This window comes from Homo sapiens, chromosome 8, assembly GCF_000001405.40.
Source record: "Homo sapiens chromosome 8, GRCh38.p14 Primary Assembly".
In the NCBI taxonomy this organism is placed as follows: Eukaryota; Metazoa; Chordata; class Mammalia; order Primates; family Hominidae; genus Homo; species Homo sapiens.
Genome location: NC_000008.11, coordinates 55,993,878 through 56,008,355, shown reverse-complemented (window position 1 = coordinate 56,008,355; position 14,478 = coordinate 55,993,878). Strand labels below are relative to the sequence as shown.

The window sequence follows — 14,478 nt, the reverse complement described above, 5'->3', positions numbered from 1 at the left end:
TGTAGATTATACCATCACTGGTCACTGGAAGGATTCTAAATAAGTGGCAGCTTCAGGGGAAATGGCTTTTTACCAGATTTGAAACAGAACCTTCTTTTGAATGTATTTTCTAATCAGTGTTTTTCAAATTGCGGGGCACTATCCGCATTTGGGATCAACAATTTGGGATCAACAAATTGACTTTTTTAGAGTACTACCAGTATTTTATTTTATTTTATTTTATTTTATTTTTTTTTTGAGGCAGAGTCTCCCTCTTTCACCTAGGCTGGAGTGCAGTGGAGCGATCTTGGCTCACTGCAACCTCCGCCTCCCAGGTTCAAGCGATTCTCCTGCCTCAGCCTCCCAAGTAGCTGGGATTACAGGTGCCCACTACCATGCCCGGCTAATTTTTGTATTTTTAGTAGAGACGGGGTTTCACCATGTTGGCCAGGCTGGTCTCAAACTCCTGACCTGAAGTCGTCTGCCTGTCTCGGCCTCCCAAAGTGCTGGATTAAAAGCGGGAGCCACTGCATCCAGCCAATTACCAGTATTTTTTAAAATGAATTATAACAGAATAAAACAGAAAAGGTCAGAAAGCACTGCACATAGGAAAGGTCAATATGGTTTTATGAAACGTTTGCTTTATGTACAGAGTAGGTTTCTATGTATTTCCCACAATGGCTTATGGCCAATAAACTTTGAGATCCTCTGCCTTTAACTTACCTTTTTTCATCTAAGGACACAGTGACCTTTCCTGAATTTAAACCGCTGAAAGAAGACATGATCATTTCTGTCGTGGAAGAGCCCTTGTTTTTGAAATTGAAAGATCTAAGCAAACTTTATAATGATTCAGATCTCTTGAGAATTTATACAGCAAATCCATTTTCCTGAGTCTAATTCTGAAACACTATCTTCAAATATTTGTGTGACTAGAATTTTCTAACTAAAATACTTCATTTGATTTTCATTGCTTAAAGCGAAAGACAGATTTGTATCATCCTCTTTATTTGGGAGTTTTAGTCTCCACAAAATGATATGGCCTCAGCATTGCTCTGGCTCTTATAACTTGGATAAATTTCAGAAGAAAGATTTGTGTATACTTCTGCTTTCTTGGGTGAAATTCTGGGATCGTGGTGGGAGGACTAACATCCAGTATGATATAAATAGCAATTGGACCTGCACACTCAGTTTGGAATATCTCTTTCACTTCCTTCCTGGAGATCCCTCATTTGCATAAAAGGTCAGAATGCAGCCACAGTGGAAGATAAAGCTTTCTAGGTCACCCTAGCCCCACAGCAGATTTTTTTTTCCTGGTTCCAGTATGTTCTCCTAGCTCTGAAGGACTCTCGATGATGCTGGTAAAGGCTGGACATGCTCCACCCTGTTTGGGGAATTCGACTTGATAAGAAGAATTGGAAGAAGGGAATCTGAAGCCTATCTTTTTATGTACAAGGAAAGCAATAAATAAAATCCGCTATTAAATGACAAGTCTTGTGAAAGAAAGAAATAAGAAGAGGAGAGGGACCTCAACCAGACCCTAAGATTACATGTGATAGTTGGTGTTGGCCTGTCGCTAAGTTAAAGAAAGTAAACACCCATTAGCTGGTGATCTGCTTAGAAGGCACACAGTTTCACTTTCCATCCTTCCTCCTTTCAACAAACACTGAGTGCTCACTATGGGTCATGAACTAGCACTGAGCTCTGAGACATGCAGAGATAGTTAAGACAGAGCATCATCCTCAAATGGCACACAGCCCAGTCAGGACAATGCCCTCACCAGAAGGAGGTGGTGGGGAGCAGAAGGTGGCATCTGGAGTGGGTAGAAATCAGCAGAGACTACAAGTTGGTAAAGAAGCAGAAGAAGGAGAAAAATGTGGTACAGTAGAGAAAAGGAACAGATAGCTAGTGACAGGGAGGAGCACAGCTGTACCACAAACTATGACAGTCTTCAGTCACACAGGGCCCTTTGTGTGTATGTGTATCAGGAAGAGCTAGATACCCTGGGAGTACAGTCTCCCACCCAATCATACTCCTTCCAAAAGGGCAAATTATTATTACTATTATTATTTTCTGAGCTTTGCTTGTGACCAAGGTGAGTGTTTGTTTGCAGCAGGACAAATTTCTTGATTCTAATTCAGCTGGCATTAAGATGTTAGATATATCTGGTCAGAAACAGCCAGAAAAGTCATGATGCTTCAGAAAATTTTTTCACTTTCAAACCTTTTGCTTTATATAAACAAAGCAAAACAAGACCCCAACCAGGACCCCAACAAGACACCCCCACCTTTTTTTTGAGACAGGGTCTCACTCTGTTGCCCAGGCTGGAGTACATGGCGCAATCATGGCTCACTGCAGCCTCAAACTCCCTGGGCTCGGTGATCCTCCCACCTTAGCCTCCTGAGTTGCTGAGACTACAGGTGCGTACCACCATACTCTGGTAATTTTTAAATTATTTTGTAGAGGCAGGGTTTTGCTATGTTGCCCAGGCTGGTCTCAAATTCCTGGCCTCAAGCAATCCACCTGCCTCGGCCTCCCAAAGTGCTGGGATTACAGGCATGAGCTACCATGCCCAGTCAGACCCCTCTTTTTTTCTGTATAAAATTGATAGAGAAATATAATCATAGTTTTGGTTTTAAGATAATGAAGTAAAGATCTTTTGCCTCCTCCTCACTATTTTCTTTTTTCTGTAATTCATCCCAAAACAAAAAAGAGAACAAGAAATAGAAACTTAAACTCCATCTCTGATGATGCTAAGAGACATCTGGCAGCCAGAGGAAGAAGTGGTCTGAGCCAAGAGGAAGAAAGTGCAACCAACGTGCCTGCAGAGAGGGGCACTGACAACGGGCAAGGCGGCCCATCCCAACTCAGCCCAGGAAGGCACACACTGTGTGGTCAGCATATACCATGAGGGAGGGAGGCCAGCGCCGAGGGCAGGACAGTACCTGGAGCCCATAGTACCAGTGCCCAGGCAAATGCTGGAAGAAACAATGGAGAAGCTTCATGCAGGGAATGCTAGGCCCAAGTGGAGGTGGGGAAAGTGTGGTATGGAAGACCAGGAGTGAGAAGAAAGACTGAAGACATGGGCCACACCATGCATGGACCTTGAGGGTTATGCTGAGTGAAATAAACCAGACATTAGGGCAAAACTGTATGACTCCCCTTATAGGATGTCTCTAAAGTAGAGACTGAGAACACTGGTTGCCTATGGGGAGAGAATTGTGTGGCTGGGAATAGAGTGGGGGACCTTTCAGCTTACACCTCTTTGTATCTCTTGAATTTAACACCATGTGGCTGGCCGGGCGTGGTGGCTCACACCTATAATTCCAGCACTTTGGGAGGTTGAGGAGGGAGGATCAGTTGACCCAGGAGTTAGAAACCAGCCTAGGCAACATAGTGAGACCCTGTCTCTACAAAAAATTTATAAATTAGCTGGGTGTGGTGGCATGCGCCTGTAGTCCTAGCTACTCAGGAGGCTGAGGCGAGAGGATCACTTGAGCCCAGGAATTAAAGGCTACAGTGAGCTATGATCATGCTACTGCACTCCAGCCCAGGTGACAGAGCAAGACCCTGTCAAATAAATAAATAAATGAAAAATAAAAGTATGTGGCCATATCCTTATCTAATAATAAGTGGAAAAAACTTAATTAAGAGATAAAAGTTATGAGTAGAATATTTAGAACTATATGCAGCAAACGCTAGAATAAGGAATCAAAATTCCCAAAAGTAGATTACTTTGAGGAGCACCCGCAGGCATGGGGAATTTTTCATTGGAAGTCTTTTTGTGGCTGCACACGGTGGCTCATGCCTGTAATCCCTGCACTTTGGGAGGCTGAGGTGGGTGGATCACCTGAGGTCAGGAGTTCAAGACCAGCCTGGCCAACATGGTGAAACCCCGTCTCTACTAAAAATACAAAAATTAGCTGGGCATTGTGGTGCACACCTGTAGTCCCAGCAACTCAGGAGGCTGAGGCAGGAGCATTGCTTGAACCTGGGAGGTGGAGGTTGCAGTGAGCCGATATCACACCACTGCACTCTAGCCTGGGTGACGGAGCGAGACTCTGTCTCAAAAAAAAAAAAAAAAAGGAAGTCTTTCTGTACTACTTTTTTAATGTGCATATATTACTTAGATAAGAATAAAATATTTAGGCCGGGTGCGGTGACTCACACCTGTAATCCCAGCACTTTGGGAGGCCAAAGCAGGCAGATCACCTGAGGTCGGGAGTTCAAGATCAGCCTGACCAACATGGAGAAACCCCATCTCTACTAAAAATACAAAATTAGCTGGGCATGGTGGCACATGCCTGTAATCCCAGCTACTAGGGAGGGTGAGGCAGGAGAATCGCTTGAACTCAGAAGGAGGAGGTTGCAGTGAGGTGAGATGGCGCCATTGCACTCCAGCCTGGGCAACAAGAGTGAAACTCCATCTCAAAAAAAAAAAAAAAAAAAAAGAATAAAATATTTAATAACAATATCATTGTAAAAAAATTAGAAATTTCAGAAATTCATCAAGAAGAAAATTAATATAACCTATTATCTCTTGACCCAATGCTAACATTTCAGTATATTATCTTAGTATTTCTATCTCCTCTAAAAATGAGTTTGCCTTATATGTGACTTTCTTTTTTCTTTTTCCTCCTTTCTTTTATTTCCTTTTTATTTTACAAAGCTAAGTATATGATATGACTTCTTCTTTTTTTTTTTTTGAGACAGAGTCTCGCTTTGTAGCTCAGGCTGGAGTGCAGTGGCGCATCTCGGCTCACTGCAACTTCTGTCTCCTGGGTTCAAGCATTCAAGCGATTCTCTGCCTCAGCCTCTCAAGTAGCTAGGATTACAGGCGTTGGCCACCACGCCGGGCTAATTTTTTTTGTATTTTTTGTAGAGACAGGGTTTGGCCATGTTGTCCAGGCTGGTCTCGAACTCCTGGCCTCAAGTGATCCACCCAAGTTGGGATTACAGGCATGAGCCACCACACCTGGCCTGTATAGCTTCTAAAGTACTTTAAAAACGAACAACACAGGTCGAGTGAGGTGGCTCGTGCCTGTAATCCAAGCACTTTGGCAGGCCAAGGCGGGAGGATCCCAAGGTCAGGAGATCGAGACCATTCTGGCTAACACGGCAAAACCCTGTCTCTAGTAAAAATAAAAAAAAAATTAGCTGGGCGTGGTGGCGGGCACCTGTAGTCCCAGCTACTTGGGAGGCTGAGGCAAGAGAACGGCGTGAACCCGGGAGGTGGGGCTAGCAGTGAGCCGAGATCACGCCACTGCACTCCAGCCTGGGCAACAGAGCGAGATTCTGTCTCAAAAAAAAAAAAAAACAAAAAACAAAAACATAGCCAGCAGTTTACTGCGTAAAGAAAGTACTTTCAGATAATTCCATTCATCGTGGATTCTCTCCCATATGCAGTTTTATAACCGTGTGGAAAATGGCATATTTTGGCAATGTTTACCGATTTCTGTGCTATGAATCAAGTCTTCTCATGTGAAGTAAATAGGATTGCTTGATTATGTTTATAACCCTAATGCTAGAGGCTCTCGTAACATACAACTCTCGTGACTAAAAAATTTACTGATCCCGATCTCCTGAAGATATCTCACATCCCCAGTCCTTCCAGGGACAAGCCAATCAGGGAACAGACTAGTCGATGGATTCTGGTGTGTTCTTCCATATAGAGAGAAACATATTTTTATGATTCTCACCATTTTTCTACTGGTTCTCTTTTTATTTTTTAATTTAATTTAATTTAATTTAATTTAATTTAATTTAATTTAATTTTTGAGATGGAGTCTCCTTCCTGTCGCTCAGGCTAGACTGCAGTGGTGCAATCTTGGCTCACTGCAACCTCTACCTCCTGGGTTCAAGCGATTCTCCTTCCTCAGCCTCCGGATTACAGGCGTGCACCACCACACCTGGCTACTTTTTATTTTTATTTTATTTTATTCTTTTTTTTTTTATTTTTTTAAGATGGAGTCTCGCTCTGTCACCCAGGCTGGATTGCAGTGGCGCGATCTCAGCTCACTGCAAGCTCCGCCTCCCAGGTTCATGCCATTCTCCTGCCCCAGCCTCCCGAGTAGCTGGGACTACAGGCGCCTGCCACCACGCCTGGCTAATTGTTTTTATTTTTAGTAGAGATGGGGTTTCACCATATTAGCCAGGATGGTCTTGATCTCCTGACCTTGTGATCCGCCCACAAAGTGGGCCTCCCAAAGTGCTGGGATTACAGGTGTGAGCCACTGCACCCAGCCTAATTTTTATATTTTTAGTAGAGATGGGGTTTTGCCATGTTGGCCAGGCTGGTCTCGAACTCCTGACCTCAGGTGATCCACCTGCCTCAGCCTCCCAAAGTGCTAGGATTACACGTGTGAGCTGCCGTGCCCAGCCAGTTCTTTTTTCAAAAAATGATTTTTCACCCCAAATATTTCCAAATCCTGGGCATTGTGCACATTGGCTGAGGGGTCTTGGGAGGCACATGGATCTGGGGCTCAGAGCAGCTTTGCCACCAGCGAGGGGCCCAATCACCTTCTCCAAGCCTCAGGGGCCATGGTAGCACATCACATGCAGCACACCACGCATATCACAAAACATTCTTTTATGAGATTGTATGTTTATCAGGTGTCAGATTATATACATAATCTGACTATATAATCTTTCTCTACAGACAGATTATAGAAAGAGATGTAGGCATAGATGGAGATAGAGATATATAACATCAGACACTGGGGCTGATTAGAAATATTTTTCCTATTTTGCAGCAATGTTAATTCATTAATCTCAGTGTCTAGAGCAGCTGGAAGATGAAATGCTGGCACTAAAGGGATTTCCTGGGACAGCCGGTCCACTGTGCAGGCAGACACCACCCAAAGGCTTTCAGCTGCCAACTGGTCCCTGCCCCAGTTTCTCTGTGGCTCATCCCCACATGAAACAGTAGTGATGGGAGCACGCAGACTGTGTGGCTGCTCTGTCCAAAAGCCTTCCCTGGTTTGCATCTCAGCAGAGTAAGAGGGGCTGCTCTTACATGGCCAGTAAGTCTCTCCCTGAGCCACTCTAACCCCCAGCTACATAGCCTTCTTTCTCATCCATCGACTGTCTAGAGATCAAATGGCCTAGGTGCGTCATTCATTCATTCATTCATTCACCCATCCATCCATCAAATACTCACAGAGGCCCAAACCACGCTGGCCTCCTGCTCCTGTTGGCCAAGCCCATGCTCTGGCTGCTCTCCCCATGGGGACATGCAGACCTCAGAGAGCCCAAGACTCCCTCCCTCTGTGAGTCCCTGCTGCTGCCAGGACCATGGAATAAAACCAGCAGCTCCCCACCCCCTTCTGTGAGTACTCGCCAATCCCTAAGCCACTCCACGCAGGCTCCACACTACTCTCACCACCCTACAGGATGGCTGTGTGTTTGATAAACATCAGTCTCTCCCCACTACAATATTCACTCTCAAGGACATGGGCAGATACCATGGCATCCTAGCAGCTGAGAGTGCCTAGCATACTCAAATATTTTTTGAATAGGAGAAAGATTTAAACATTAAAAATTTAATTTTAAATTCCCCTCATGCAAATATTTTGTTAATAGTCAAACATAAATGAAAATATGAAGGCTCTGGGAGAAATCCCTCTTTTTTTTTTTTTTTTTTTTTTTTTTTTGAGACAGAGTCTCACTCTGTCGCCATGGCTAGAGTGCAGGGGTGCAGTCTCGGCTCACTGCAACCTGTGCTTCCCAGGTTGAAGTGATTCTCCTGCCTCAGCCTCCCAAGTAGGTGGGATTACAGATGCCCACCACTACGCCCAGCTAATTTTTTGTATTTTTAGTAATGACGGGGTTTCACCATGTTGGCCAGGCTGGTCTCGAACTCCTGACCTCGTGATTCACCCACCTCAGCCTCCCAAAGTGCTGGGATTACAGGTGTAAGCCACTGCACCTGGCCGAAATCCCTCTTCTTAACCATGCCAGCACAGACCATGGAAAAATGGAGGGATGGTCAGAATCTGGCTCTGCAGGCTTCAGGTGTTAGGAATCTGGAAATAAATACTGAATGATGCCCTCACTGATACCAGTATGTTAAAGAGCAGAAGGGCCTCCCACTGATAAACAAAGGTGGTTATTTCTTGAAGAGAGAGAGACTCCAGGGCACTTATTACAAAACCAAGCATCGGAAATCCTTGTCTCCATGTGGGTTTCCTCCTTCCAGTCAGGGGGACTGCCTTGGAGGAGCCCCTGTGTCTATCCATCCTCATCTCGACACCAACAACCATGCCCGGAACATTCTAGTATGTGGTGGAATTAATCAGTGCAGAACAAGAACACACACTCAAAATAAGGAGGCAAAGAAGTGTCTAAGCACTCTTAGAACAATTTATGCTAAAGATAGTGAAAATAAAAATCAAGTCTTTTTTTTGTTTCGAGATGGAGTCTCACTCTGTCGTGTAGGCTGGAGTGGAATGGCGCGATCTCAGCTCACTGCAACCTCCACCTCCCGGGTTCAAGCAATTCTCCTGTCTCAGCCTCCCGAGTAGCTGGGATTACAGGCATGCGTCACCATGCCTGGCTAATTTTGTAATTTTAGTAGAGACGGGGTTTCTCCATGTTGGTCAGTCTGGTCTCCAACTCCCGACCTCAGGTGATCCACCTGCCTCGGCCTCCCAAAGTGCTGGGATTACAGGCGTGAGCCACCATGCCCAGCCCGTGAAAATCAAGTTCTGGCTCAAAGCACTTATTCTTTGCTATCGGGTAGATGAAGTAATTATTACTTTTTAATGCCTTCATGCAACCTGACTTTTTCTCATTTATACAGCTTGATTGTAAATAGCTAAGTAAACCATACCTGGGTAGGGAATTTTCCCATAGGTGACAATTTCGTATAGGAGGATTCCAAAGGACCACACATCAGACTTAATAGTGAAACATCCAAAGTTGATTGCTTCTGGAGCCGTCCACTTAATAGGGAACTTAGCACCTAAGGAAGAAGATATGTGGTTCTTACTTGGGTATTTAAACTTAAACAAAAAAGTCATGAACATGTGACCCCATACTTTCTTTTCTTTTCTTTTTTTGAGGCGGAGTTTCACTCTTGTCACCCAGGCTGGAATGTAATGATGCGATCTCGGCTCACTGCAACCTTCACCTCCCAGGTTCAAAATAATAAAATAATAATAATCCTTGTTCAACAATGCTTAGGAATTTCAAGAAAGTGCTTGTCTCTTCCAGAAGACAGTGAGCACTGCAAAAATATTTGCTCAGCTCTCGTGGGTGAGAGCATAAGAATCCTCAGTCATAACCACGTGGGCAATCCTAGCCCAAGAAAGGCCCTGCAGTCCCGACCATGCTTGGCCCCCTGACAATGTGCCACAGGCTGGGGAACTTAGGCCTCTCTGTGCATTTTTGGTTCATATATATAATACAGAATGTGGGAAAATAAAGAAGTAGATTTTTTGCATTATATTTAGTTCTGTGTGTATGGTAATGTTCATGTTTTAATTTGTAATTAAAAGGCTGGAATAAACAATATAGAATTAATGTTACAAATATTTTCTCCACAGCCCCGTATATTATATTCATTGTTTGAGTGAAAACTTTAACAATACAAAATAAACAAGAATCATCTTGCTGAATCTATTTGTGTTTTGCATTGCTTAATTGAAATACAACTGATAGCATTTGTAAGCCTAACAAAAGTATCATGTGGAGTTAATCAAGAGAGTACCTTCTAGAAACTATTAGAATAGAACCATAAGCAGACAATTATGGTACAGCTTAAATGTTGTACCAAATAAGTTTTTCTTAATGGTGACTATTGTAATTGCTTTGTCAAAAACAGACAAAAACAAAATAAAACACAATAATAAAACATCTAAAGATCATTAGTGCAACATACCTTCCCTTGCTGTGTACTCATTATCTTCAATTACTCTAGCAAGGCCAAAATCTGCAATTTTGCACATGAGTGACTCGGAGACCAGAACATTAGCTGCTCGCAGGTCCCGGTGAATGTAGTTCTTCCGCTCGATGTATGCCATTCCCTCTGCAATCTGAAAACAGAAATAGGCTCCCATTTTCATATGTAGGGTAGGTGACTGGAAAGTGCCATCAAGGAAAACCGGAAAACTTATGAATTCCTGAAATCTTTTCATGTATACTATTTTGATCATTCAGCTTTTAAAGACAGTGGGTAATGGCAATCACCATTTGAGCCCTTTCTAAAATAACTGACCACCCTCTGCCAAATCTCCAACAATGGTCATCTTAAAAAAAAAAAAAGGAACATGTCTTAACATTTTCTTTTTTTTTCTTGAGACGGAGTCTCGCTCTTTCACCCAGGCCGGAGTGCAGTGGCGCTATCTTGGCTCACTGCAAGCTCCACCTCCTGGGTTCACACCATTCTCCTGCCTCAGCCTCCCGAGTAGCTGGGACTACAGGCACCCACCACCATGCCCGGCTAATTTTTTGTATTTTTAGTAGAGACGGGGTTTCACCATGTTAGCCAGGATGGTCTCGATCTCCTGACCTCGTGATCCGCCCGCCTTGGCCTCCCAAAGTGCTGGGATTACAGGCGTGAGCCACCGCGCCTGGCCATGTCTTAACATTTTCTAATGTGTGAAGAATCTTTTCAAGACCCTGCTAAATTCATCCATGTAGATACATAGATGTTATTATGCCAGTTTCTCAAATCAGAAAACAGATGCTATGGTCTGAATGTTTGTGTCCCATTCCCCGCCCCCTACCCCAAAGTTCAAATGTTGCAATCCTGAACCCCGAGGCAATAGTATTAGGAGGCAGGGCCTTGGCAGGTGATTAGATCAGGACGGTGGAGCCCTCACGAATGGGATTAGTGCCCTTGTAAAAGAGACCCCAGAGAGCTGCCTTGCCCCTTCCACCACGTGAGGACACAGCTATATGGTGCCATCTATGAACCAGGAAATGGCCCCTCATCAGACATGAAACCTGCCAGGGCTTTCCTTGCCCCTAAACTGTGGGAAATAAATGTCTCTCGTTTAAGCCACCCAGTCTATGGAATTTTATTATGGCAGCCTGAACCAACTATGAAAATAGAGTTGGAGAAAGTGACATGCTAATACAAATAAATTATTAAGGTATCAAGAACAGGATGTCGTTTCTGTCAGGTTAATCAACAGCCCATGGAACTGGCTCTCCAAGTTCTCTCTGCACATTCCCTCCAGGACAATCACAAAGATTCACTCTTTTTTTTTTTTTTTTGAGACAGTCTCACTGTCTCCCCCAGGCTGGAGTGCAGTAGCATGATCTCAGCTCACTGCAACCTCCCGCCTCCTAGGTTCAAGTGATTCTCCTTCCTCAGCCTCCCGAGTAGCTGGGATTACAGGCACGCACCACCATGCCTGGCGAATTTTTGTATTTTTAGTACAGACGGGGTTTCACCATGCTAGTTTTTGTATTTTTAGTAGAGATGGGGTTTCATCAGGCTGGTCTCAAATTCCTGGCCTCAGGTGATCCACTCACCTCAGCCTCCCAAAGTGCTGAAATTACAGGCATGAGCCACCACGCCCGGCAAGATTCACTCTCATGACAAAGTATGACAGCAGGAAAGAATCCAGGATTTAAACACAACAATAACATAGGGAGGCAAAACTACTACTCGTTGCTGAATAGAAAGTGTAGTATCGTTCCAAAGTCAGGTTTTTAAGGAAGACATTACCAAATTATAAAGTTAAGGAGAAGGAAGGAAGAAAGGAAAGGAAGGAGGGAAGGAAGGATGGAAGAAAGCAAGCAAGGAAAGAAGGAAGGAACAAGGAAATGAAGGAAGGAAGGAAACAAGGAGAGAGGAGGAAAGGAGGGAAGTAAGAAGCAAGAAAAAGGGCAAGAAGTAAAGAAAGCCAAGTAGTAGTTTATCTGGTAAGCAGTTAGAGAAAACTCTGATTCGAATTTTTCACACAGGAATGAATGTATTCTGCCAGATTCTACCTTGAATTGCAGGTGGCTCGGCTTGGAGGATCTGACTTTCCCCAGTCATCTGCAACAGTATCCCTGGTAATCAAGCACTTCAGGCCGCCAGTTCCAGACCACGTTGCTTAGCAAAAGATTAGCTCCTTGGTATTGGGTCTGCCTTTGCTTCCCCTCTAGGCCAATCCCTGGCCTCACCTTCTGCCCCGTGGGCCTTCCCTGAACTCCCCTTTACTCACCCTAGATGGTCAATGTGTACAAAAACCATCTGCAGCTGCTGATCACAGCTTTGTCATTATTTTTATGCTGTTTAATGCTCTCAGTGGTGTCATGTTAGCCAGTTGATAAACACCTCTAGGGCTGAAAATATCTTTTCTATTCTCACTTGTATACATTGGAGCCTTCAAACTTGTCACCAAACCTCTTATCAGAGACAAAGTAAGTCCTTTGGGAAATGGGCTGGGGTTTTCACATGACCAGAATACTATCTTGTTAGCCCACTACTACAGGGATTTGGCAGATGATATTCTCATGGTCACAAAAATCTCAAGTAAAATAATCAGTGTGGCCTACATCAGTCTCAAAGACTATTCAGTCCAGTATTTCACTTCCGAGTGGAAACAAAGAATGTGGTCCAAGCTCCTTTGCACTGCTGCCAAGGCCCCGTATGACCCGGCCCCGGCTCAGCCCTCCACCTCCTCACCACGACCCCCTCCTTTGTGCTTCTACACCCCCTGCCTCTGTGTGGAACGCTCATTCCCTCCCTGCCCCTTTCACCCGACCTATGCAGTTTGCCTGTCTCAGCTGAGATTTTACTTCTCCCGGAAGCCATGCCTGGCATACCCTCTCCTGCCAGGTGTGCATGCATCCCCAGTGCTCCCTGCTCCTCACCTGACTACCTGTCCACAATTTCTGCAGGAACATGAACCCATCCCAGCACTGAGCACAGCACAGCACTAAGCACAGCAGGAGGCTTCATTTCATGAGGGACTTGAGAAGTGGGACAGAGGCTGAGTGGAGCAGAAACCAGACGGACAGTAGGAAAAGGACAGGGCAGGTTTGGAGAGCAGTGACTTCGTGTCCCCTGCCTTTCTCCCAACTGTCACAAACCCTGAGCACTGGGGAGATGCACAGCTTTTACCTGACCCTGGAAAAGATTCAAACAGCCTTGATGGGAAGTCAACAGAAGGTGGGCAGTGGTGATAACCAGGTGAAGGCAGAGCTCCTGAGTCTGACTTTCTCTAGGAAGCCTCTGCTGCCCAGAAACAGCAGGCAGTGGCATGGTGAGGGCGTCAGGAAGTTCAGGATAGCTCCTTCTAGAGTGGGCACTACTGAAACAGATGACACGGGGTGGCAATTTTGGTGGCGGCTGGGAGAGAGGAGCCCTGCCTCTGTTTCCTTTTGTCTGCTGGTAACCCAAGTTCAACAAGACTTGTTAGAAAAAGCCAGTAAAACTGGGAAAAGTGGAGAGCGAAGATCAGGCTGAGCATGTGTGAAAGAAAGGAGTGTACGATTATAACACAGTAGGCTTTTGGCGATAGAACCACGATGCCTGGCTCAAACAGACCAGAGTTGGTTACAGGAGCCCAGATGAGACAGCAGCAATTGAGCGGTCATAGCTGACTCTGTCCCAGCCTCCCGGCTCCACTCCATGGTAGTGCAGCCTTTAAAAATTCTTAGCTCTTAGACACTTATCTACCTAACATTCCAATAATTATATATAAACTGGGCCAAGAACCCAAAGAAGCCAAAGCTGGCTGAAGTCCCAAATTGGGCCTGAAACCACAGTTGACAATAGCAACCAGGAACCTGTGCTGCCCCTCTCCCAACGCTGTTGATCGGCCACACAGGTGGGCATGATGGCAGGGACCCAGCCTCCCACACAGCAGCAAGGACACACGTGATGATCAACTCATTACAAAAAGCACTCCAGGGACTTGTTAGTAAGGCATTTGTCACACCTACCCACATCCCGCATTTGCATAAATCTGAGTGCATTTAAAAAAATGATTCTCAGAAATAATAACAGACTTGCAACAAACCTAGTGTATTTTGGCCTTCTTTTCCATGCCAGAGTGCTTTAAGGAGCTCAGATTCCAAACAGTAATTAAAGCGTTCACCAAGACAGGATTAGAAACAACAGCATTAGCCAAGTTGAATAAATAATGAATATGGGAGCAAAATAAAAGCTCTCAGATATGACTTGCTTTTCAGATGATAAATATCACACCTCTCCCTTTATATAAAATTAATTCATTCTCTTTATTCTTTCCCTGGTCTTTGTGTATTGTTCTTTCTTGGTTTATTTTTTTTAAAACCTTAATTTGTTGTTGTTGAAGGTGGTCTATTTACTACGGCTAAGTAAATCCAGCTCTATTTCAAACAGCAGGAAGAAATCAGAGACTCCTTTGGCTGATTGAATGTAGTGTCAACTTTTCATGGAATACCTTCTTCCTCTTCCAGGGCCATGTAGCGTTCAGCACTACAGAAAGAGCTGTCACATAAATACATAAACCAAGGCTCAGCTGTCCCCAGGGACTCCCACTTCCTATTGTTCCAGCAGCTTGGAAAGCTTGACTT

The 14,478-nt window shown here is 44.6% G+C and overlaps 1 protein-coding gene across 3 annotated transcripts in view, besides 2 other annotated features; it reads right to left on the bottom strand.

Annotated features, from left to right (window-relative positions):
• Nucleotides 1–14,478, bottom strand: part of LYN (LYN proto-oncogene, Src family tyrosine kinase) — a 134,335-nt gene that overhangs the window by 5,814 nt on the left and 114,043 nt on the right. For all 3 annotated transcript variants that reach the window (NM_002350.4, NM_001111097.3, XM_011517529.4), the window contains 2 exons: nucleotides 9,857–10,010; nucleotides 8,807–8,938 (listed from right to left, as the gene is read on the bottom strand). In NM_002350.4, the coding sequence (NP_002341.1) occupies nucleotides 8,807–8,938; nucleotides 9,857–10,010 (286 nt within the window). The remainder of the gene's footprint in view (nucleotides 1–8,806; nucleotides 8,939–9,856; nucleotides 10,011–14,478) is intronic.
• Nucleotides 1,669–1,718: an enhancer, noted in NCBI's record as "active region_27398". NCBI's record gives its function as "activates an Ori minimal core promoter by ATAC-STARR-seq in GM12878 lymphoblastoid cells {active_cell/tissue: GM12878}" and the evidence as "EXISTENCE:reporter gene assay evidence [ECO:0000049][PMID:35858748]".
• Nucleotides 1,779–1,878: an enhancer, noted in NCBI's record as "active region_27397". NCBI's record gives its function as "activates an Ori minimal core promoter by ATAC-STARR-seq in GM12878 lymphoblastoid cells {active_cell/tissue: GM12878}" and the evidence as "EXISTENCE:reporter gene assay evidence [ECO:0000049][PMID:35858748]".